This window comes from Homo sapiens, chromosome 8 (genome assembly GCF_000001405.40).
Source record: "Homo sapiens chromosome 8, GRCh38.p14 Primary Assembly".
NCBI classification, from domain to species: Eukaryota; Metazoa; Chordata; class Mammalia; order Primates; family Hominidae; genus Homo; species Homo sapiens.
Window position 1 is genome coordinate 3,191,593 of NC_000008.11, and position 26,313 is coordinate 3,217,905.

At 38.5% G+C, this 26,313-nt stretch overlaps 1 protein-coding gene across 5 annotated transcripts in view, besides 1 other annotated feature; it reads right to left on the minus strand.

The window, feature by feature from the left end:
- The window catches only part of CSMD1 (CUB and Sushi multiple domains 1), a 2,059,554-nt gene that overhangs the window by 256,232 nt on the left and 1,777,009 nt on the right, over window positions 1-26,313 (minus strand). For all 5 annotated transcript variants that reach the window (XM_011534752.3, NM_033225.6, XM_011534753.4 and 2 more), the window contains 4 exons: window positions 22,905-23,099; window positions 13,912-14,028; window positions 10,020-10,133; window positions 8,122-8,217 (listed from right to left, as the gene is read on the minus strand). In XM_011534752.3, the coding sequence (XP_011533054.1) occupies window positions 8,122-8,217; window positions 10,020-10,133; window positions 13,912-14,028; window positions 22,905-23,099 (522 nt within the window). The remainder of the gene's footprint in view (window positions 1-8,121; window positions 8,218-10,019; window positions 10,134-13,911; window positions 14,029-22,904; window positions 23,100-26,313) is intronic.
- Window positions 19,685-20,223: an enhancer, noted in NCBI's record as "H3K4me1 hESC enhancer chr8:3068799-3069337 (GRCh37/hg19 assembly coordinates)". NCBI's record gives its function as "activates a minimal SCP1, AML or CMV promoter by ChIP-STARR-seq in primed H9 embryonic stem cells {active_cell/tissue: H9 hESC(primed)}" and the evidence as "EXISTENCE:reporter gene assay evidence [ECO:0000049][PMID:30033119]".

The following is a 26,313-nucleotide window of genomic DNA, read 5'->3' on the forward strand; positions in this document are numbered from 1 at the left end:
ATGGGCTTTGGATAGTGGGTACTGACAGGTAAGTATCAGTGCAACGTGTGGGTGAGATAACTATTCAGGTTGTATGGCAGAAATTACCATCTACAGGAGATATTCCTGTTTATCAAAAGGAATGTGGGATAAAGATTAAAAAATACTTCAATTGGCAAAGAGGTCCATCACACTAGGCAAACTCTGAAAATAGTTATGCCCTTTGAAATTTGCTTATTTTGTTTTTGTCCTCTGCAGTGAAAAAGACAGTATTTAGGTACTGTCTCTGGGATTCTATCCTCCTCAGTCCTTGTGTTTCTTCATCCTAAATGCACAGTCCTTTAGCAGAATGTTCTCGTATATGAATTTTCCCTTAAAATAACCCTTCTATCTTCCCACGGCTTTTTCTGACACACTGGAATCTGTTTTATTTATTTATTTTCTGTTGAATCAGACCAACGACAGACATTATTTGGGTAACTGCTGCTGGGGAAGCAGTTCCATGAAAACGGAAATTGGCAGATTATTTTGATTAAACGATGTTTCAATTTGGTGTTGAGATATTTTCTATCAGAAGGCAAAATTAATAAAAGTGTCTACCTTTCTAACAGCACTGATGTGGAAAATAATTAATGATTTATCAGAATCATTCTTCTCCAAGCTAAAAATGAAATACAGAATAACGATAATATTCTATTATAGGTCAAGGATCTCTTATCTGAAACGTTTGGTGTTTCAGGTTTGGAATTCTTGTAGGTGTTGGAATATTTGCATAAACATAATGAGATATCTTAGGGATGGGACCCAAGTCTAAACATGAAATTCAATGATGTCTAATACATGCTTTATACACATAGTCTGATACACCTTCTACACGTGCTTTATCCTTGTTAAGATGATGACTTAGTTTATGAAACACAGTAATTGTCATGGTTTGGCTACTACTCAATTGTTTCCCATAAAACAAGTTGCCCTTTAAATAGGTCACGAGCCAGATGGATTTATGTAGCCTGGAGAGAGGCACGAGAAGCAGCACTTTGGCACAACGGAGAAGTCCTGGTGGGCAGCCATTTTATACAATATTTTATATTTTGAAATACAAATACAATATTTTAAATAATTTTGTGCATGACACAAAGTGTTGACTGCATTTTCTATTGTGATTTGTCCATCACAGGAGGTCAGGTGTGAAATTTTTCCTTTGTGGAGTCATGTTGGTGCTCAAAACAAAGCAGATTTGGAGCATTTTGAATTTTGGATATTCAGATTAGGGATGCTCAATCCATATAACATAATATTTCTTGAAATTATTTGTGTCATGTTTGCATGCTTGAGTATTTTATTAGAGTTGAATAATGGCATGAAGAAAAAAAAAAAGATATCCCATAGAGGCTTCCACAGTCATCTCAAGGATCTTCCACAAAATGAAGCGCTATTGCCAGTTTTTCTACTTACACTGGATTGCTTACAAAATACCTGCTATCGTGGCAAAGGTTGCACTTATCTAAGAGGCTTCAGGTATTGCATCTGTCACTTGTATATCTGGGAGCTATACAAATATATTTGAGAGCTATGCAAACATATTTGTACCTTTGAGAGATACAGGGTATCACTATCTTTCCAAGTTCCCAAAATGAGGAGAAATATAGCACCAAGGGTCATTTGTACACAAGTCACTATTAACTTTCTTCATGAATTTCAGAGTGGTCTATTTTCAAGGAAAATGACAATAAATGAATAACACCTGCATCTGGATAACAAGACGAAAAATGTTTTTTAGAGGAAGAAGTTTGGAAAGTGAGGACACCAATTGTAAGGACTTGAGACAGTAGGATAGGGAGGCAGGGAGAAGCTGTGGAATTGAGACATCACAGCTCCACGGAACGTCTGGGAAGCGGGTGGGTGGAAATCAGACAGTGCTGTGTAACTTCATCCTCCCCGCCCGTCCTCTGGGTCTGGCCCTTCACCTGGACATTTCAGACGGCATCCGAGAGAAAAATTCTATTGTCTGTCGTCATCATTCTCTATCCTTTAGTAAATATTTCACACTGCTGTGAAGCCAAATTGAAATCGGGCCAGTGGAAAAGTGAGCAGGAATGAGGTCAGCCTGGAATAGAGGGTGATCAACAAAATGATTGACTTCTCAGGCCAGACAACCGTGTTTCTTCAGAGGCAGAACGCTCTCCTCTGGGGCTTTGAGGTGCTGAAAGTGGGAAGCAGCGCAAATGTGTGCTCATCTGTCGGGAAAAGCCGGAAGCATGTTGTGACAGGTTCGATGATCACCCTTCAACACCACAAATGCTCTAAGCTACAGATACATGCTGCTCCTTTACTGCACCTCTGTTACAGTTGATGTGAAAACCACAACAACAATCATAAAATAAATCTGAGTGCATGTAGGACTCACTTGCAATACCTAAGTGAAGCAGTTTTCTTTTTGATGTAGTGACTGAGGGACATTTTCTCTCTCAAAATCATTCCTCTCTCATCGTTGGAAAATCAGGTTGGACAAGCCATTACTAGTCAATGAATTAAAACATACATCACTGAATTGCAAGCAAAATTTTACATTTATTCTTCTTTGCAAAGAATATGCTTTTTATAGGCTCTTGACACAAATGTGAGTTTTTAGATGTGGAAAACCAACTAAGCCATATAATTCATGCCCTCTAAAAAGAAGAAGAAACCAAGGGAAAATCAATCAAAACATGTATTTGCCTGCCCAGAAATAACCTCAAGTAAAGAAATTCTTAATGTACATCTTTCCTACCCAAACTGAGAAAAAAATATTTCTGTGTTTTTAGGTCTGTTTATTTTCAGGAGACCATCTGATTAACTATTTTATTTTATTTTATTTTATTTTATTTTATTTTATTTTATTTTATTTTATTTCATTTCATTTTTGAGGTGGAAACTCATTCTGTCACCCAGGCTGGAGTACAGTGGTGTGATCTAGGCTCACTACAATCTCCACGTCCCAGGTTCAAGCAATTCTCCTGCCTCAGCCTCTCAAGAAGCTGAGACTACAGGCACATGCCACCACACTTGGCTAATAATTTTTTTTTTTTTTGTACTTTTAGTAGAGATGGGATTTCGCCATGTTAGCCACGCTGGTCTCAAACTCCTGAGCTCAGATAATCTGCCTGCCTTGGCCTCCCAAAGTGCTAGGATTATAGGCATGAGCCACCATGACTGGCCTAATTAACTATATTTCCATGAATGCTAAAGAGACTGAGTCTTTCCAGCAGAAGACCCTGGAAGAAGAAGCCTTGAGCTCCTGAGCCTGGGATGCAGGTGCTGCTTCAGGTGAGGAGCCTGGGAGAGGAGAACCCAGGTTAGAGATGGTGACCCGGAAAACATGACTTGAAAAAGTCCTGGCCAATAGACATTTACAAGCTGGGCACTGCGGAAGGGGTTCAATATAGAAATATGGTTTCCTTTTCCCTTTAAAATGTACAGTAAATCCTTGCAGTTTACTCATTTTGGTGTGACTGTGTGATCTGGAAGGAACTGAAAGCAGCATTGAATTCTATGTTGAAACAAATTACAGAAATAGGCCTTTTATGAAAACAGCCAGGCATAAATATAAGACAATTGAAAAAAGTAGCATGGATGAGGTACTCTCCAACATGAAGGTTTACTGAGACACAGTCAATCATGCACATCAGAGGGATGCGGGAGAAGACAGGGCAGGGTGGGCAGCTGTGACCACCCTGTCTTAAATCCACAGGAGCCTCGGAGCAGGCAGGAAAGAGAAGGATGTGGGCTCTGCCTCTCTTGGCCTCTGTTTTCAGGCGGATTGATTCTAATGTTGAAAGACGTGAATTACAGGCCAAAGCAAAGTCTCTAAATGCAATGTAATTACTTAATGGCATAGAATCAATGGCCTCTTCTAATCCTGGAAGAAGCAGACTGTGCTGGAGTTACTAAGAAACAGTTTGTGTGATGTTCGGCTTTTGCATTGCGTCTAAGAATATGTTGATTTTCGGTGTAATATATTTTCTGTGAAATGACAAAGATCCCTAAACCTGTATAACCACGGCCAGTAATGCAGGTCCTGCCAGTCCCTGCTTGATGGTACAAGACCAGGGAATTTAGGGAGAAGAGGGGAAGCTACAGGAGTCTCCTCCACTGTGAACACTCGAGGAATTCCCGGGAGCTAAGAAACTGGTATAAAACACTTTCTGCTTGATGCCAAAAAGCAAATGTACAAGGCTGAACATATTCAACATTTAAAAGCAAGAATTGTGTATCTCCCACGTCTTCAAGAAAGCTTGCTAATGCAGGGAAAAAATGTAGTCATGGTTCAGACTTGGAATATTTAAACTGTCAGAGGTGTTTGATCCAGAGTGACTCCATCTTCAATAGGGGCTGTATAAAATGAGGCTGAGACCTACTAGGCTAAATTCATAGGAGGTCAGGTGTTCTAAGTCACAGGATGAGGTAGGAGGTCGGCACAAGGTATAGATCACAAAGACCTTCCTGACAAAAAGACGCCGTAAAGAAGCCGGCCCAAATCCACCAAAACCAAGATGGCGACTAAAGTGACCTGTGGTCATTCCCACTGCTCATTATATACTAATTATAATGTATTAGCATGCTAAAAGACACTCCCACCAGCACGATGACAGTTTACAAATGCCATGGCAATGCCAGGAAGTTACCCTAAAGGGTCTAAAAAGGAGAGAAATCCTAGTTAAAGGAATTGTCTACCCCTTTCCCAGAAAACTCACTAATAATCCATCCCTCATTTAGCATATAATCAAGAAATAATAGCAAGTAGAAGCAGCTGAGTGGCCCATGCTGCTGCTCTATGGATTAGCCATTCTTTATTCCTTAACTTTCCTAATAAACTTGTTTTTACTTTACTCTATGGACTCGCCCCAAATTCTTTCTTGCGCGAGATCCAAGAACCTCTCTTGGGGTCTGGATCCGCACCCCTTTCTGGTAACAAAACCATTACAGATACTCTTATACTTCAGGAGGGGAATAATTAGATTTCTTTTCATGCCAGCTTCTCACCATAGCTTTAGCTTCTCAATTCTATTTGATTATATCACAGCTGATGAAGTGGTTGCTGATTCAGAGGGGGGTGAAAGGTTGGGCAGGCAGGACTCATGCCTGAGCCACAGCTGCAAACAGTGCTCCATAATCACTGAAACTTGTTGGTAATGCAGGTCACTCATCTCAGTCTCCATACTGCTCCTTCCATCACTGGAGACCAGTGAGTTGTGAGAGTTTCATTCCTGGGAGAGTGGATAATGACCATGCCCGTTCATTCAACGGCACGAAACTAAAGATAAGAGAAGCTCCTGGCAAGTGCTGGCTCACCATGGATACATCCATGCTGAAGGGTTATCCCTTTCTGAAGGGTCACTGGCCACAGCCTTCTCTGGGGCACCCCATGATGTCACTCACACCTTCTTCTCTCATGCTTTCCAAATGTACCCTTCTGCTCTCAAGAAGTGTGGAAAACACACAAAAACCCAGCAATTGCATAGAGTAACTAGAATACTGCATTAAAGAGCCTCTAGACTTACATTGCTTCAGAAGTTCAGAAAGATGGTAACATCATCATTAATTCTGTCTTCACATTACTAACCAGGATGACATGGAGGGTGGGAAGCAGAAGGCTAGAGACCATGATCTGTGCATGTCTGGAGTCACACGTTTTTTTGCACACTGATGCTGTTGCAAACATTTTTCACTGTAGACCCCAGCAGCTCTTTATAACAGAACTGTGTCTGTTAACAAGGGTTAGCTATCCTACAACCACGGAAGACATAAAGTCTGTGTGCAATTTGAAGCTGAATTTGTTTATGAATGAATGAAGCTGTAATGGTGTATGAAAGCACTGTTTAGAATATTTTTCTATAATATAGCTCAAATAATTTTTTTTTTTTTTTTTTTTTGAGACGGAGTCTCGCTCTGTCACCCAGGCTGGAGTGCAGTGGCGCGATCTCCACTCACTGCAAGCTCCGCCTCCCGGGTTCACGCCATTCTCCTGCCTCAGCCTCCCGAGTAGCTGGGACTACAGGTGCCCGCCACCACGCCCGGCTAATTTTTGTATTTTTAGTAGAGACGGGGTTTCACCATGTTAGCCAGGATGGTCTCGATCTCCTGACCTCGTGATCCGCCCGCCTCGGCCTCCCAAAGTGCTGGGATTACAGGCTTGAGCCACCGTGCCCGGCTTCAAATACTTTTTAGGCTTCAATGGAACTACTGTCTTTCAAGAAGCAATGTTCCATTTAACTTTTCATGTGTATGCAAAACTTTTACCATTGCTGTTGAGTAATTTATAAGTTGCATTTATGATTCTAGTTCTTCCAAAAAAACTTAGTTTTGACAAAAAGACATCAATTTTCTGCATAAACACACTAGTAGGAGCAAAGCAAGAGAAGGAGGTATATTAGAAATTTATAAAATATTGAGGATGTTAGAGTCGTCATATACTCTTGAGGACAAGAAAAATAAATTTCCTCTATAAATGATGTTCTTTTCTTTCTACTTTTCCGTATCTTTGACATTTTGATGAAAACGTATTACTTTAAATAAGCATAATTTTTAAAATACATGCCTACCAAGGACAACATTTGCATATAAGACACCAGGATATTTGCATGCAATATATTGTCTGATGATGGGATAGATTTTATAATCTTTATCAAAAACCAAGGAAAGCCCCTTATAAAGGCAGACAAGGTCAGTCACTTTAGTGTTTCCAGGAGAAAAAATGTTGAGGCAGCCCAGTTTCTTTACACATCTCACATACTTTGGTCTAAACGTGATTCTGCTTTTGCAAAGTCAGATAGAATTTATTTGAAAAAATTAGAAGTAGTAAGAGACGGGTTGTTTCAACAGGCCACTCTCTAATAAAGTCCATTTTTAAAAACTACTGGGTAATTATTTACATTTTAATAAAAGGTGTAACTTATAACAATGTAACACCTTTTAATGCATTAGCATCTCCATTCATTCAATGGCTACTTACACAGGATCAGAGAGATCTTTGTCTCCTGATTAACTGTTAAGCATCATCCTCATTCTCTTCCCATTACTCTTTAAATGATCTAATTGCTGAAAACTGAAGGGTTTTTACACTGAACTGTTTTGAAGTCATGAATTTCCCAATTTGAGATGATTAGAAACGATTGATACATAATATAACACTGTTATACTCCACCTTTTTAAAAAATACGTAATAGTATCAATAATGTTTTCTGGAGGAATCTTTATTAAAGGAAAGAAACCATTGCTAAGAAAAAATTTTTCTCCAGATCTGAAGAAAATACTTAACAGTGGCCATTAGTATCTGTAGCCTCCAGCAAAATTGAGACCTAGAAAAACTAAAATATTGCTTTTTATTTTTGAACACACAGTTTATCTCTGAACAAGATCATTTCTTCCAGATCTCAACCTTTACAGTCATGACAAGCTCCACGCAAAGACTTAATCCAAGCTTCTGAAAGTGTATGAACAGTTTATGTGGTCATTTTTTCAATGCAAAACAAAAGTGAAACAAATTAGGAGAAAATTCTTTACTTTGCAGAATCTTTGAGCAATCTCAAATATTTTTTAAAAGGTTTAAATTAAAAGATAAGTATAAAGGTGTAAAAGTACCCAAAGTTAATAAAACACAAACAAAATAAAATAGGTATTTAGTTAGGATAAGAGATGCATGCGTGATATTTTGTTTTTTGTTTTGTTTTGTTAAATTTCCATTTAAGCTTAGTTTTTATAATAAAATGTGAAATTGTATAATGCATTTTAAACATATTTCCTATATTGTTACTAAGATCTCAACTATTTCAAAATACGTAATTAGATAAAATACTGTATTTGAAGTCATCTTACGAGATGTGAAGAGCTACAGAAAGGTAATATGATCAATATTTATTCCCTTCTAGTGCCTGATAAATTAGATATTATTGTGTTTTTGTAGTAGAAATATGAGTTTCAACTGTCAAAAAATTGTAATATTTTTATTAAATAATTTTATTATAAACATATGAACACCTTCAGCTCCTTAAATATTACAAAAATGCAGCTGAGATGTTTTGAGTGCTTTGTCTGAGACTAGCCGTGGGTGCAGCATCAGGAAAGACCACAGTGACATGTGGAGACATGTGGAGTGACGCTTACCTTGATACACGAAGTGGAAGCCGCGGGCAGAGGCACCGCTCTTTGCACTGAATCGGAGCAGAATTTGATTTGACGTAGCCAAGGGCAATGTTTCCCCTAGAAACGAAAACAGAGACAGATTCAGAAAACACACAGCACCGTGGGGGACGGTAGTATTTTGGAAAATGGTGATAAAGTTGAAATTTCACATTTATTTTTTGAACTTTTAAAACATTTTCACTTTATGGTTTAAAACTCAAATATGTTGTTTTTATAAAGATTAAAAACTCTGTCCTAGGCAAGAATAGGCAGTGCATTTGATTAAAATATACTGTAATCATTATTTCGCTTATGATTTCTTTTGAAGAAAGCACCAATGGTAGGCCTATATAATAGAGTAGACAGAAGTAAAGGGTGAATCATTTGCTCAGAATCACCTTACTCTGATTTTAGTTAAAATTAAAATAATTTTACTTAAAAAATTTTTAAAAGTAACTGAATCCAAAGATGATTTTTTTTAAATTAAAAGATTCAGAAAAGGCCTTCTGAAGTATATTTTTAACCTTTAAAAGCACATATAGGCCAGGTGAGGTGGCTCACACCTGTAATCCCAGCATTTTGGGAGGCTGAAGCTGGTGGATCACTTGAGGCCAGGAGTTTGAGACCAGCCTGGCCAACATGGGGAAACCACGTCTCTACTAAAAATACAAAAATTAGCCAGGCGTGGTGGTGCATGCCTGTAATCCCAGCCACTCAGGAGGCTGAGGCAGGAGAATCGCTTGAACCTGGGAGATGGAGGTTGCAGTGAGCCGAGATGGTGCCACTGCACTCTAGCCTGGGCAAGAGAGTGAGTGAGACTTTGTCTCAAAAAAAAATAATAATAATAATAATAAAATAAAAATAAAAAATATATAAAAGTGCATATAAAATGTGGAAGAGTCTGTGTCAAGCAGTGGTGGGAGGTGTGTGAATTGGCATAAGGTTTTCAGAGGACAATGTGTTACTAATAATCAACATATTTAATGTGTATCCTCTGATGCATTCTTAGATACATCATTGAACCTTGGTAGAAAATAACAAAACATAGGTCTTAAGACTTTTAGTTAATAATAAAATAGAGAAAACCTGGAAATATAATCAAATCTGAACATTAATTGGTCAAAGCTTGTGACGCATATCGTTTACTAGGCAAATTAGTAAATGTACCCAGTACCAAACTGATTTAGTAAATGATGAAAATGTATCAGTACAAATAAGGGGTAGGTCATCAATTAAAAGTGGGGTTAAATTGTGCTATATTAAACCGACTGAATACCATTCAGAACTCAGAGTAAGGGCATTGGGTGCATACCGTGTTTGTTAGAGACAGACTTCTGTATGTGATTTTAAGGGTAAGAATGGGATAAAAATAAGTTGTGAAATAACATTCCATGTTTTATGGGGGCTCATGTGTATTTGCATGTGTGGATAAATGTATGCATGTATACATGTGAACACGTGTACATGTGTGGCTATTAATGGGTCTCTCTATGTAGGACTTACAGGCTTAGAATGCTTTAGACCGAAATGTTAATCGTTTTTATCTCCAGAAGGAAGGTTAAGACACATGGGATACAAAATTAAACACAGATGATAGTTGATTATCCCACCCTCTTTTTCGGATCTTTGCACCTTTTACTGAGATAAATATTATATTTTCTGCAATCTTAGTAAGATGATAAAAGCACGTGATTTTATGTGTGAGATAAAAACACTTTTGAGATCTTATATCTAAAATAAGATTTTTCTAAGCACACACGCAAATTCAAAAATGATTACATTTCTCATTCATCAAAACAAAGCAAAAGAAACAGACAAGTTAAAAATTAATCCCCCTAGCTGTCTGAACTAAATTAAGGGCAAAATTCTTTAAGACTTACCTGAGTGAGACCCCGAGAGTGAGCTGAGAAGTCTGGCCTGTGCATGGGTTCCATCAAATAATTCTGCCAAATCATTCAGGGCTGTCTGGAAATAGGCAAACTGTCCAAAGACCACTAAAAAATAAGAGGTGGGATGTTGGCACAAGATGCTCTAAGAAAACAAAATGGAGATTTTTGATTTCACTGAATATCTATTAATTGCCCCAATGGATCATTATCCTAAGAATTTGGTAAAAAAATAAATATTAACTTATTTTCTCTGCTTTCTAAGTTTTCAGTTGACAAAACTATTTTACTTTGCTTCTTGACTTTTGGCATTTAATAAAAGAAAAAATACTGTTTTATTTCCAATTTGAACATTAAATGAGGAATGTTTTTGTTTTAATAAACACAACATTAAGAATATATGGGCTGGATGTGGTGGCTCACGCCTGTAATCCCAGTACTTTGGGAGGCTGAGGCAGGAGAATGGCTTGAACCTGGAAGGCGAAGGTTGCAATGAGCTGAGATTGTACCACTGCACTCCAGCCTGGGCGACAGAGTGAGACTCTGTCTCAAGAAAAAAAAGAATATCTGTAAAGACTTCCCTATATTTTCAAATATTTAGCAACACTTTATTCAATGAAAAATAAGCAAAGGATCAAACCCCATGATGATTTGATGAGGAATTTAAAATTCCTCACAAAAGATTATTATAATGCCAAATTCACATTAATACGTTGCCGTATTCATACACACTGACTTATACACGTGATTCTCTGGCATATAATAGGAATCCCTTGCTGTTTTCCACTCTACAATTTCATGTATCCTACAGGTTATGAAAGGTGTGTGAACACACCTCCTCCAAGTGAAACATAACTACATGCTTTGTGACTTCAAATTTAACTGATGCTGTGTATTCAGATTGACGATACAGAGGGCCTTTATATTTGCAGGAAAACCTGTGATTTGGTATATACTTACAAGCAATGAACAACTAATTCTTTTCTTATTTATTGTAAGATTTGCACTACAATCATTCTAAGCCATTATAAACAAGAAATGGAGGTGTGTGCACTAGTTGTGTGTGTCAGAATTCCAACGGAAACAATTACTGTTAATATTTGTTAGTATGACGGAAGTAATCTAACTGTAACAGTGTGTGTGCCCATGTGTGTATAGACACACATACATATATTTATGTAACCAACTCCATACACACATATCTAATATAACTTGTCTTTTAAGATTTTATAATTTCCCAGAGAAAAACACAAAGAAGGCATGTAGGCTAGGTGAATTTTCCCAATAGATGAAATGCTCTAAAAACTTTTTTCAGGAATTAGAGAGGGAGAGGACTTAATAATTTCTCTACAGATCTTGCTCATACCATCCTCACCCACCCACCACCTCCCCAAGTTCATTAGATTTTTATCATACTGGAGGCCCAAAACTTGGGTCACAAAAGTGAATCATCCACAGATAATTTCTACTCTTTTTCAAGAAATATTTAGCTGACATCCACCTCATACTAGAAACTAAGAAAAAAGGAGGGAAGGGGATAGTAACATGGTCTTAGGACTATCATGCTCTAACGTGTTTGGTAATTTCCAAGACAAACATGGATTTTGAGTACAAGATGTCAGGAGCCAGAATGCCCAGCTCATTCTGGACATGGCCCCAACGTCTTCCTTGAGGAACCTCCTTCACCTGGGTTCTAACCCGTCACACACACTGAGTCCCAGTGAGCAAACTCAATTGCCAAGAGAGAAAAGCTGTTCACTGCTATCTACGCTGCTGCCGGAAATCATGAGAATGTGATGAGAAGAACAAACAAAGGGTTATGGGGCTTCAGCCGCGGGAACTGTCAATGCTTCATGGTGAGGGGATGGCACTATCAGCAAGAAGGATTAGTGGAAGAATGGAATATAAGAAATTATATCAGCGAACGGAATACAAAAAGCAAAATGGTGGCGGGGACAAATGCAGCAAATAGTCAACTTCAGCTAACACTCCGTGGATAAAAAACAAACAGGGGGATTGGAATGCAAAGGCCTGTGGCAAGGATCTCAAAGGCCACCCTGAAAACAAACACTTTGCTCCATAAATAACAGGAGTGACTAAGGATGTTTATCACGATACTAACATGCTTAGATTTGTGTTTTAGAAAGAATTCTTGGCTATGCTTTTGGATGAGAATAGAGGAAACTGGGTTATCTGAAGACCTGTCTTATTAATAATATCGCTTCGCATTTTCAGCCTGTGTTGACAGACAGGGAGCAGCCTCTTCCTACCTGGTAAGGATCACATCACCCCGTAGTGTCTGGATTGCACATCTGCCTCACCCCTCACCATAAGCCTGCCAGGGACATGGACCAGATTCCTTTCATCTTTGCATCCCTGTACTTACAAATACTGTGAGATTAATTGTTTAGTTAATTAGTTTATTTATCAGGAAAGAGTAACGAATGGGGGAAGAAAGTAAAAGATGAGACAGAATGCATTTTCATTAAAGATTCGCTGTAACTACGTTATTCCACGCTGAAGCTTTCTGCCAGATAGGATGTGATCGTTTGTGTGATTAAACTTTTCAAATTGGGAAATTATAAACGATATTTAGGATATGAGTATGACTTCTTTAGCTGAAAATTTTTAATTGTGTAATGATGACAATAATATTTTGTATTTAACTAAAATCATAGAATATGGCTGCTAAATTCCATTGTAATAAATATATTTTGTCATGTTTCCATGAACAGAAGACTTTTTTGTGATAATCAGGGGAATACTGCTGAGCATTTAGGTAAAAAAAAAAAAAATTATTTCATTCAAATTCAGAATTAAGGCTAAAGTTAAATGAGGGACTTTAAAGAATTTGGTCCAACTTAAAATTTGGAATCCAGAACCCATTTTAAGTATTACTGCCCATTTATCATAACAAAGGGAACAGCAAGGTTTGGGGAGGGTGTGCATTACATTCGTAAGAGGCCCGGGAATCATGACACAATAGAAGTTTACAAAAACACTGGCTCCCACACACAAGTTTCTTACACATCAAATATCTTTCTTGTCACATGTTAAAAATGCTTTATCTCAAATACGTCTAACATTAGAATTTTTACCTGCTTTATATGCAGAGTGAGTGCTGTCTCAGACATAAATAAAAACCTTGACTATGTAGCGTTTTCAATTTTCCTATTGGAAAGAGGGACATAGTCTTTAAGATGATGACAGCTACTATCTGGTTTACTCCAGAAAAGAATCTGATCCAAGATAAATTGTCCTGGTCAAGAGTGAGAGTGAGCATTGCATAAATGAAGTGCAGAGCGACCAGGGAAGGCCCTTCTGGAAATGAAGTCATTTTGGAAAATTAGCTGGAATTGGAAGCAATGTTTAGGAGGGAAACAGGAAGTCAGGGTTCAGCAGGTGAAACAGTCAAGACTCTGCCTGCTTCTCCGTCCCTCAGCACTTACAGGTTGACTCAAGGATGCAGTGATTTCGATCATGATCTGGTTACTGAGTTCACTGAATGTATGTGCCATTCATGCACAGACATATACACAGAGTTCTGACCCACCCACTACTTTATGAGAAATCCTCCGTTGCTCATAAAAACAACCAACTGAAAGAACTATGTTTGGGAAACCTAAGAAGAAAGCCAAATTAATTCTCTCTGATTATTTCGGATCATAACCCTAGAGGGGACTGTGAGCATTAATATCACATTGGTAAAAGGACTGTAATGGACATTGTGCAGGATATGTTTGGAAGGCCTGCTACTTAAATGCAACTCATTTGCTTTTATATGAAATATTTCACTAAGCTCTAGCATACTTGTTTATCAAATGACAGAAAAATTAACACTGAAAGGAAATATGACAATGAATTAAAAATACAAGGACATCCTTACCGAATTCCTTTGGTACCGTGATGGAATAGAGGCATATTTGACCAGCTGTGTAATTATGGGGGTAGTTTGGTGATAAAACTACCCCTTCTGATCCCGTGTACTGGCCTCCACAGGGAGCTGAAAATAAAATCAACCGAGAATTAGTCGCTGTGCAATAATAGCGCAGGTGATAGGTGAGCCAAAGCTGAAACACATCAAACACGTGAGCACGTTTATTGAAAACTTGACAAAATAAGAAGTTAAAATCTTGTTTTGCATTGCTATCAAAGTCATAGAAAGACAAAGATTTACCAGGGAAGAAGTAATCCAACTTAGGAGAAAAACCTAATATTATTTTCAAGACATTTGTCTCAGATGTATTAAAATAATAAGGGAAACATCTATAATAATAATAAAATAGGTTCTATAAAGACAAATGATTAAATTATTTTAGAAAGTCTCGCGGAGTTGTCTGTTCGAAGTCAATCCTCATATTAACTTAAGAGATACAAAGATTATTTCAGTTTTCTATCACTTTTATATTAATATGGGAATCAAAGGAAAAATGTTTTGTTTTTTAGGGGATTTTCTTTGTTTTAACGTTTCATCTTATAGTTTCAGTAAAAGCAACATGCATAATTACTAATGCTTTTGGGGTCTCTTCCTATGAGTTCAATTTAAAACTAAAAGAATCCATCATTAGAAAGTTAGGGCTTACAAAATATAGAGAGGTGTGTGTGTCTGTGTGTGTGTGTATGTGTGTGGGGGGTATGTATGTGTGGGGGGGTATGTCTCTGTGTGTATGTGTGTGTGTGGGGTGTGTGTGTATCTGTGTGTGTGGTATGTGTGTATGTGTGTTTGGGGTGTGTGTGTATGTGTGTATTGGGGGTATGTCTGTGTGTGTGTATGTGTGTGTGGGGGGTTATGTCTGTGTGTGTATGTGTGTGTGTGGGTGTATGTGTGTGTGTATGTGTGTGTGGGGGGGTTATGTCTGTGCGTGTATGTGTGTGTGGGTGTATGTGTGTGTGGTGTATGTCTGCGTGTGTATGTATGTGTGTGTGGGAGGTTATGTCTGTGTGTGTATGTGTGTGTGTGTGTATGTGTGGGGGGCGTATGTCTGTATGTGTGTGTATGTGTGTGTGGGGTTATGTCTGTGTGTGTGTGGGTGTATGTGTGTGGGGGTATGTCTGTGTGTGTGTGTATATGTGTGTGTGGGGGGTTATGTCTGTGTGAATGTGTGGGTATGTCTTAATTTTCCCCCAGTTATCTTATTTACTTTGGCTTCACTTTTGCTGAGAAAATGAAAAACACTGTACACAGATGTTCAATGCACTTTTTAAAGCATCATGGAAGAGACCTCCAATTAAATCCCAGCCATTTGATATCCAGTCTTTAGATTGCCAGTACTCTATTTCATTATATTTCTACATGAGAAGGGGCCAAGTCAGCTCCCCTCATCTGTTTAACATAGGGCAATGACCAGCGTGGGAGCCACTCAGGACAGCCTGTTGCACCCTTACCATGCTGGCTGTGGCCTGACTGCACTTCCTATCTTGGATATACCGCCACTGATTTGAATTCAGAATTAGCTTCAGTATTTCAGAAAGATTATATTTCTACAGCTCATTTCTTCTTGATATGGCCATTTTCTTTTTTTTTTTTCATTTTCTTTTTTTTTTTTTGAGATGGTGTCTTGCCCTGTCACCCAGGCTGGAGTACAATGGCATGATCTCAGCTCACTGCAACCTCCGCCACCCGGGTTCAAACGATTCTCTTGCCTCAGCCTCCCGAGTAGCTGCAATTACTCGGCGCCCGCCAACACACCTGGCTGATTTTTTTTTTTTTCATCTTTAATAGATATGATGTTGGTCAGGCTGGTCTCGAACTCCTGACCTCATGATCCGCATGGCTCAGCCTCCCAAAGTGCTGGGATTACAAACGTGAGCCACTGAGTCCGGCCACAATGGCAATTTTCAAGCCTCAAAGAATAAAGAAGTTAGAGATAACATGTTTAATTCTTTGAATGTTAATTAGCATTATGTTAAATATTAATTGATGGACAGAACATTTTCCATGATGAATTAAGCTCCTTAGAATATGGTAATGCTAAGGATAAGGCAACTTGTTAATGATTAGTCAAGAAATTTCCTGAATCCCTGCATTACAATCGCTTGAAAAACTTAAGTTGTATTCTAAAAGTCAAAGGAAAACAGCTCAGACATCTGTCAGCTTTGATCTGTTCATCAAAGCTGACAGAAATTTAAGCAGAGATTTTACTTAAATAAGCTCAGCCTTCATGCTAGTGTCTTAATTCAAAATCATGTTATCACTCTAAAACACTTCTCTAAAACACTTCTATTTAGGTTTTTATGATTTTAAATAGAAACATTTTATTTTCACTTTTAGATGGAGGATATTTCTATAAGCTCAACTTCAAAACTGAAGGTTTCCAATAGAATGCTGGCATCACTCACTCTACCAACGCAGATATATCCCTCAGATATTTCTCTCCACCTTAACCATGTGAAGTCAACCAGGTTATGTCAGACCTATCTTTCCTTTTCCTCAAAAGCTTCAAGTTCAAGTTTTTAAAAAACTTAGCACAAATAAAGATTGAAAATATATTTTATTTGCGCTCAGTCACATACAATTCAAACATATCATTTTGCAAATGATCTTTTTCCATAAAACAATTAGTTTTAAATTTTAGACAAGAAGTATAAATAAAAAGTGGAAACGTCATCACTGGGCCAAAATTTTGATTCCCAAATTATTAGCGATGGTAAAGTAATTCTTTTCAAGAACATCTTCTGATCGCTCTGTCACCAGGCTGGAGTGCAGTGGTGTGATGTCAGCTCACTGCAACCTCTGCCCCCCAGGTTCAAGTGATTCTCCTGCCTCAACCTCCCGAGCAGCAGGGACTACAGGTGCACACCACCACACACAGCTAATTTTTGTATTTTTAGTAGAGATGGGATTTCACCATGTTGGCTAGGATGGTCTGGATCTGTTGACCTCGTGATCCACCTACCTCGGCCTCCCAAGGTGCTGGGATTACAGGGCTGAGCCACCACGCCCGGCCATATGTTTTGTGATTGTTAATACTGAATGTCATCTTGATTGGATTGAAGGATAGAAAGTATTGATCCTGGGTATGTCTGTGAGGGTGTTGCCCAAGGAGATTAATATTTGAGTCAGTGGGCTGGGGAAGGCAGACCCACCCTTAATTTGGGTGGGCACCATCTAATAAACTGCAGCATGGCTAGAATATAAGCAGGCAGAAAAATGTGAAATGAGAGACTGGCCTAGTCTCCCAGCCTACATCTTTCTCCTGTGCTGGATGCTTCTTGCCCCTGAACGTCAAACTCCAAGTTCTTCAGTTTTGGGACTCGGAATGGCTCTTCTTGTTCCTCAGCCTGCAGACAGCATATTGTGGGAATTTGTGATCATGTGAGTTAATGCTTAATAAACTCCCCTTTATATATGTAACTATTCCATTAGTTCTGTCCCTCTAGAGAACTCTAATACATGTTTCAAAGTATAACTACAAAGAAACACTTTGTGCAAGCATAGAATAAAAGAGCATTGCCTTATGATAGTAGAGGACATTTTTGAAAAGTCAAAGATGAAATTCAGGAAAACTGACTCAGAACTTTTGTCTTTTACTACCTTGATAAATAGTGCTTGTGCCTGTCCGTTCTTCCTCAGATCAAAATGCTAAGCACCAGAACTACAATGATACGTTTCATACATGAACAACATTTGTGTTAGAAAAATATGGATAGAATTTTTATTTATTTGTTTGTTTGTTTATTTATTTATTTATTTATTTATTTATATTTATTTATTTTTGAGACAGAGTCTTGCTCTGTGGCCCAGGCTGGAGTACAGTGGCGTGATCTCGGCTCACTGCAAGTTCCATCTCCCGGGTTCATGCCATTCTCCTGCCTCAGCCTCCCGAGTAGCTGGGACTACAGGCACCTGCCACCATGCCCGGCTAATTTTTTTGTAATTTTTTAGTGGAAACGGGGTTTCACCATGTTAGCCAGGATGTTATTGATCTCCTGACCTTGTGATCCGCCTGCCTCGGCCTCCCAAAGTGCTGGAATTACAGGTGTGAGCCACTGCACTCGGCTATTTAATTCTTAATAATTGTTATGTCTGCATTACTGTGCTAATCTAAGAAACAGGCCTGGTGCTTCTCACCTTAGAAGTTATTTTATTTTAATGCAACAACAAAAGAAAAATAAATAAATGTTTGTTATTTGGTAATTAACATATTAAACAGATTATTTCCTAAATGAATAAAGACATACAAAAGCATTCATTGCTAATGGTAACAAGAAGCTTGCTTATCCATTTGGCTAATTAGAATATATACATCTCGTACATAAAAGCAACCACATAGAACCAAATTGAGTAAACAAAACTAGCAAACAGAAGTCATTGTGACCCATGAAAGGGGCTCAACTTTGCTTCAATTTCAGTTACAATTCTACAAAAAACTTCAATAAGCAAAATTTGTAGGTAATAGACGAATAACCAGGAAAAACATTACCCCACGCATCTAAAACAAACTGCCCCAAAATGCACCAACTGCATCCCATGATGCAGGAACTATCAAAAGATTTACAGTGGAGCAAAAGGCCCCGAGGTTAACTGTTGATCTGAATAAATCACAGGCGCTGGTTCATGCACAAATGTGCTGCTCTCCATGAGGGATCCAAGATGCACTACAGGAGAGACCATCTCTGCTTTCCAGATTTATAACATAAAGCTTTATTTGCATGTAAATGGAATCCTCCATTTGGGGAAATCAGTGTTTCATGCGCTGTGCTCTTTGATGACTAGTAAAATAAATTGTGCCTCACTCCACAGATCTTCAGACATGGAAACTGAAACAGTCTCTAATTAAAAATTTGGTTTTATATATATGACCTATATATATATAGGAATATACATATATATGACCTATATATATATAGGAATATACATATATAGGAATATGTATATATGTATATATCCTATATATAGGAATATATGTGAATATATATACATATATACGTGTGTATATATGTATAATTCCTATACATATGTGTATAAATTAATATATAGGTGTGTGTATAAATATATAGACAGGAATATATATATAAAGTGTATATACACTTTATATATAATTATACATATATATACACACCTATATATGTATATACACTATATATATATAAAGTGTATACATATATACTTTTTCTTTAGCCACAGAAAAGGTATTTTTCCTATGGCTAATACTTTACCCATGCTTTTTCTATGGCTAAAGTTTTATCACTCCCCACAAATTCAACTGTAATTGAATTTAATATAAATTAAATGCCTTTTGTATTATTAGTTAACAAAAGTACAGAATTCATGACCTTTCCTCAATTTTGCTACCTACTTTTATCTCCCTCACACTAGACTCTATATAATTGCTAAAGATATCTGAAGTGGGGGAAAAATACACCAGGGGATGCAAAAATCATTTTCTGGGATACAAGAAAGAAAATTAGAATTTTTACCCAAAATTACATCTTTTGTTTTCTTGAGATAAGGTATTGCCCTGTTGCCCAGGCTGGAGTGCAGTGATCCAGTCACGGCTCACTGCAGCCTCAACCTTCAGAGCTCAAGTGATACTCCCACTACAGCCTCCCGAGTAGCTGGGACCCCAGGTGTGCACCACCCCACACAGCTAATTTTAATTTTTTTTGTAGAGGTGGGGTCTTGCTATGTTGTCCAGACTAGTCTTGAATTCTGGTCCTCAAGCGATCCTCCTGCCTTAGTCTCTCAAAGTGCTGAGATTACAGGCATGAGCAGCTTTGTCTGGTCTAAAATTCCATCTTTGTAAATGTCTGTGTTCATGTAGTAATTGTGTGGTCTATAACAGCTGCTGAGATGGTCAGTACCTGTAATGCGTGGCAGAGATCGAGGTTGCATGCTCAATAGTTATATTGATTGGATGTCAGATCAAAAGGGTTTGAGGTCATTGCCCTTTGTTACATCAAAATGGTTTTGGAAACCAGTTACATACAGAATTAAGATTTACTAGTTTTGGGGAGCCTTATGCCTGTGGAATTTATCCTCCTAACACTTGTGACCTAGAGACTGTCATCGCTCTCAGCCCTGCGAGTCTTGTCTGGAGTGACACAGACGGGAGGAGGTGAGGCGAGATCTGGTCACTCTGCAGGGCGCACCTTTCAGTGCTGCCGTTGGCTCACAAGCCCGGCCCTGCCCGCACTGGCCATGCCTCGTCCAGAAGGGAGGATCCTCAAGACCTTGGACAGCAGCTCACAGGCAGCTCCTGGCCAACCTCAAGAGCACAGGGCAAGCACCCAGAACCACTGGCATGCACTGCCCAGGCCGCTCAGGATATGAGGGGCACCCAGGCTGGTGGCAAGACAAGAGGGGGTGGAGGTGTGGCCCACCCTGGGCCAGGACAGGGAAGGGTGGGTGCTGGGCAGAGACTTCCAGCTGCCTCGTGCCCACCTCACCAAGTGACACCCACTTCTTCGTTTGTCTCCGTCCTGTTTTGGGGGCTGTGCAGGCACCAGGGAGACCTTGGTCTTGACCTGTAATGCTAGATCAAAGGCTCTCTTTACCTCAAAGCCACTCTGGCTCACTGCCTCCCTCACCCATGAGCACGCTGAGTTCTATTTGAAGCTCCCATATGCTTCTTATTTTAGTTTTTAATAAACTTAAAAAAGAAACACTCTATAACTTCCCATTCACAAAAGTCTCCCAAAGCAAGTAACACAATGACTACACTATCAGAATTTTTAATTAAACATGACTAGAAAGGACTGATGCATAACCTGGCCTATGATCACGATTTTAAAACACAAAAAATAACGTTCTTCCTCTGTCGATCTGTTGCCCAGGCTATAGTGCAGTGGAGCAATCTCGGCTCACTGAAACCTTCACCTACCAGGCTCCAGCGATCCTCCTACCTCATCCTCCCAAGCAGCTGGGACTACAGGCATGAGCCACCACATCCAGCTAAGTTTTGTATTGTGTTTTTGGTAGAGATGGGGTTTTGTCATGTTGCTCAGGCTGGTCTCAAACTCCTGAGCTCAAGGGATCCACTAGCCTTGGCCTCCCATAGTGTTGGGATTACAGGTGTGAGCCACTACACCTGGCCTAAGTTCTTACTCTGTGCCAGTCTCTACTGCTGGGTCCAGACAGCTACACTTCTTTAACTTAAAAGGTTTCAGGATCATAAGAGAATGGACTTAGAAACATAGAAATAGCAGAACACGCCAGGGAAGTAGGTTTTGTTTTATTTTGTTTTGCTTGTTTGATTTTAGTTTCTTATATACTTTTTTTTTTTTTTTGAGAGAGAGTTTCACTCTTGTTGCCCAAGCTGGAGTGTAATGGCACAATCTCAGCTTCCACAACCTCTGCCTCCCGGGTTCAAGCGATTCTCCTGCCTCAGCCTCCCAAGTAGCTGGGATTACAGGTGTGCACCACCACGCCCAGCTAATTTTTTGTATTTTTAGTAGAAAGGGGGTTTCTCCATGTTAGCCATGGTCTCGAACTCCTGACCTCAGGTGATCCACCCACGTCAGCCTCCCAAATTGCTGGGATTACAGGTGTGAGCCACGCGCCCAGTCTCTTATACAGTAATATTTAAAATGTTTATTTGGCCTGAAGCTGCCAGTAGCATTGTTAGGCTGTCTTAAGAAAAACACATTTGTTTCATAATTTATCAAACGAAACTGGTCTTTGAGCTCATCTTAAAATAACCCTAGAAATGAATGTCTCTGCAACAAGCCATGAAGTTCTACCTCATTCTTCTTCTTTTTTAAATATATACCATGAAAATGTAAAAGGTACAAGTCAAGGGTCCACAGCCTGAGGAGTGTTTGCCTATAGAGACCCCCATGAAACCACCACCTAGGTGAAGATATGCACCCTGGCCAGCAGCCAGGAAGTCTACCCTCCCACTCTTCCCAGTTCACACCCACAGGGCAGCTGCTGTCTGACTTCATCACTGTAGGTTAGTTTTGTCTGTCCTTGAAAGCTGATTCAACGATTTTACTAATTTCATTCCTAAGGAATTACAAACTATTGCTGTTTTGGGGGGAAATGACATATCCATTTAAATATATACATATTAGTTTTTTCTCTCTATATATATACAGATAAATAGGTGTAAATATATATGTGTGTGTGTATGTATATATATAAAAATATATGTACATTAAAATATATATGTATATATGTAAAAATATATGTGTGTGTATGTATATATATGTGTGTGTGTATGTATATATATGTATGAGACTCCATCTCATATATATATATGTGTGTCTGTGTATGTGTGTGTGTGTATATACATACACATATATATATATATATATGAGATGGAGTCTTGCTCTGTCACCCAGGCTGGAGTGCAGTGGCACAATCTCAGCTCACTGCCCAGGTTCAAGCGATTCTCCTGCCTCACCCTACTGAGTAGCTGGGATCACAGGCACGCACCACCACACCCAGTTAATTTTTGTATTTTTAGCGGAGACAGGGTTTCACCATCTTGGCCAGGCTGGTCTCGAACTCCTAACCTCGCGATCCACTCGCCTCAGCCTCTTGAAGTGCTGGGATTACAGGCATGAGCTACCACGCCCGGCTAGAAGTAAGTATTTTATATATGGAGAGAGAGAGAGAGAGAAGTAACTAGAGAAGGCTAATTAGCACCTCTTATAAAGAACAGATCTAGAACACACAAAAACAGAAGTGAAAAATGTAAAACTGTACGAGCGAAGGAAAAATATTGCTCCTCCCAGAAACCTATGAGAATGGCTAACACACTAGCTGCATTAAATGATCAATGAATGACTGATATTCGTTCCACACTAGCTCTCTAAGCAATCCTCACCACCGATGAGAGGAATACGTGTTGAAATGTGAAACCATTTCTTCAATGAGATGCTGCATTTTAAAGGAAAGTTGTATTTCTAGAAAATACCCAAGCGTGCACTCACCATTGCAGGAGGGCAGCACTTGGTCCCAGGAGGGTTTCCCATCAGCCCCAATCACACAGGTGATGGATGAGGGGTCAAGAATCTTATAGCCAGAGTCACACTGGTAGGTGATGGTGGAGCCAAGCTTGAAGTCTGTTCCAACTCTTGTCCCATTCATTATATTTCCTGGGTCAAAACAAGCTTCCCGTGGTTTCTCTGTGGAAGAAATGAATGTAAACTGCATGAGAGCAGGGATCTTATTCTTGTTTGTGTTTTTGTTTGTTGGGTTGGTTCTTTAATTGTGTTATTTAGGGCCTAGAACAATGTCCTAAATAAGTAAGAAATGCTCAAAGAATATTTATTGATTGGCTATTGACCAAGTGAAACTATTAATTAAAATAAGAAAATTCCTTTTTAATAAAATTATATTTCCATTTTAAAAACCACATTTTGCTACAGAATTGATATAAAATTACCTTCATCTACATAAAAAATACAGTACTACGTTTTTATATATTTATCCATTTTTGGCTACAGATTTTAGGACTGAATCAAAGAAAAATTGACTCTGGAAAAATTGAGGTTCATTTTCTAACTTTTGTACATCAAACATATTAACATAAAATCATTCCACACCTTTCAGAAAAGACTGGAGAATTTGGCTTCTCAAAATGAAACAGTTTAATTCCTGAAAGTTAAGAGCACTTTCTTATACGAATAACAACAGACAGACTTAGAAGATGAAGATGGATGCTTGTTCTCATTCTTTTACTACCGTATTTCTGTTGTTAGTCTTAATAGAGTAAACGTCAAACTTAGAAGAAAAAAATACATTGACTGATAGATGATGGTCAAACATTGTGCACTGGATGTACTAACAGCCAATAGTTCTACCTTAGTTAAAATAATTGCTGAAATTTATTGAGGGCTCATTATGTACCAGACATGGAACTAGGTGCATTTCTTGTTTAATTCTAATCTCCAGGACACCTCTGCCAGGAAAGGATCATAAGAATGTAAAACTCAAGGAAAGTTAAGTCACTTCCACAAAGACCCCCTGCAGAGACCTGCCCACTTCTGGGGCCCCTCAATTAGGCATTCACTTTTGGCTGCATTAAGTATTTCTTCTTCCCAAGTAAAAATACAAAACCTTTTTTCTTCAGTCATGTTGTTCTGCAGTCAATTTCAGTTATCTTCTGGTAGCCTTAATATTTTTAATTTTCTGTTTCAATAGACCATCTAAAATATCTCTAAATGAAAAAGTGTATAACCCTGCAGTCTACCACCCTGCTAGAAATAGATAAATATAATGGGAGAGGAAAAAGCAAAAACAAAAATGCTAAACTTTGGGAAGCTCTGGAGGAAGAAAAAGAGACCTGATTAACTGTATTTATTCAATATTTTCAATTATATTTTTAATAATCCATGTGTAATCATCAACCAAACAGAGATGTCTTTGGTGATCATTGACTTAATCATCGTATACATTATATAAAGAATCTATTATAATAATGTATTATATTTAATAAACTATATTTCCTATATAATTTACATACTTTGATTAAATCTATATTAATATATATTATATATATAAGTTTTCTCATTTAAGAATTTGAGATTAAATGATACATATATATTTTATATACATTTCTTGTTTTGTGCCTTCAAACCAGTGCTCTCTAATTGCTTTGTTGAAAAGCTGTTTGGATGTTTAAAATGGTAGCTGACATGTTGATAATTCTTTGTAACTGCATTAAATCCCATATAGAATATAGAACATTATTTTAAGCAAATACAGATCAAATAAGTAAACCTGTAAGTACTATGAAAGTTGCTCAGTTTTTCTGATATTTTATTTAATCATTCAACACAATGTACTGAGGATCTAGTGAATAGAAGCATGGACTTGTTCACAATATTTTCCCCTATTGAAAATAAAAAATTTCCCAGTACACATCTATTAATGTATGTCTGTTGCTCTTGTGTCCTTTTTGATCATTTTTTTGTTATAAATCTCTTTTAGTCTAGTTTCCTGTTTGATTAAATATCACCTACACAACTTTCTTCTTTATGCCACTAATTTTGATTTCTGATGGCAGGATTTTTTCCCAATGGACTGCATCTAATCTTTTAGTTCCATTACTGACTTGTCACTTCAGGATGTTCCGTGATAAATCACTGGCACATTTTTTGCTTACAATTTGCCAGGCTTCTAACTAGATGACTTCATAACAGGGTGTATTTTGTGTTGTCCGTGTCCGTTCCACTTATGCATACCTTTGAGCTTTCCTGCATCAGAGGCCAGGTGGATTGCCTCAGCCAGGATTTGTGAATTGTTGCACAGCACGACTGCCTGGTGTTCCTTCTATTTCCCATCATGCCTAAGAACTGGATCTGTCACCTGCTTTGCTATCCACACCAGCACTTGCTCTGGGCTGCATGCAATACAATGACATCACTGCACCAGGCTTAGATGCAATCACTGCCCTAGGCTGGATGCAATGGCATCACTGCTTGAGGCTGGATGCAATGGCATCATTTCTCCAGGCTAGATGCAATGACATCACTGCCCTAGGCTGCATGCAATGACATCACTGCTCCAGGCTGGATACAATAGCATCACTGCCCTAGGCTGGATGCAATGGCATCACTGCTCCAGGCTGGAAGAAATGGCATCATTTTTCCAGGCTACATGCAATGACATCACTGTCGTGGGCTGCATGCAATGGCATCACTGCTCCAGGCTGCATGCAATGGCATCATTCCTATTCTCTTTCCTGTGATTTTTATTTTTCACAGACTCCACTGGAGAGCTTTTAAAACCTCAGGAACTACAGCCTCCAGTTAGATGGCCATACCGGTTACCCAAACAAAAATTAAGGAAGTTCTTTCTTCATGCAACCTGTAAGGCCCTTCATACTTCATTCATTCGTTGGCCCATTTATTCATGTGCCTTAGGATGCCGGGGAGAACAGGAGTTGTCAGAGTGGGCAATGATCAGTGTACATTCTCACAATTATATGAGGAATTGTTTTGTTTACTTGCCTGCATGATTTTGTTGGGGGCGTGGGGGGCTATCATAGAATAAGTACTGTCATGGTAAAATGCATTTTAGTGAATTCTTGTTAAGAAACTAAATTATGATGTGGCAAAGGCTCAAAAGTACTGTTTTCAACTATTCCTAAACGTGACGGATCCCATCTCAAAGGCATAGGATACTCTGATTGCTAAATTGTATAATTTTTAAAATTGTACATTTTAGTAAATACCCCTAAGTGTGCAGATTCTGATGTTTGGGAGCAAAGAAACCAATTTTCTACTTAAAACTATATAAACAGTTCTGGTAATGAGGTAAGAGACATAAAATATGTTCTTTTTAAAAAGATTTTTCACACAAATTGAACTCAAAAGTGTAAATAAATATAAATAT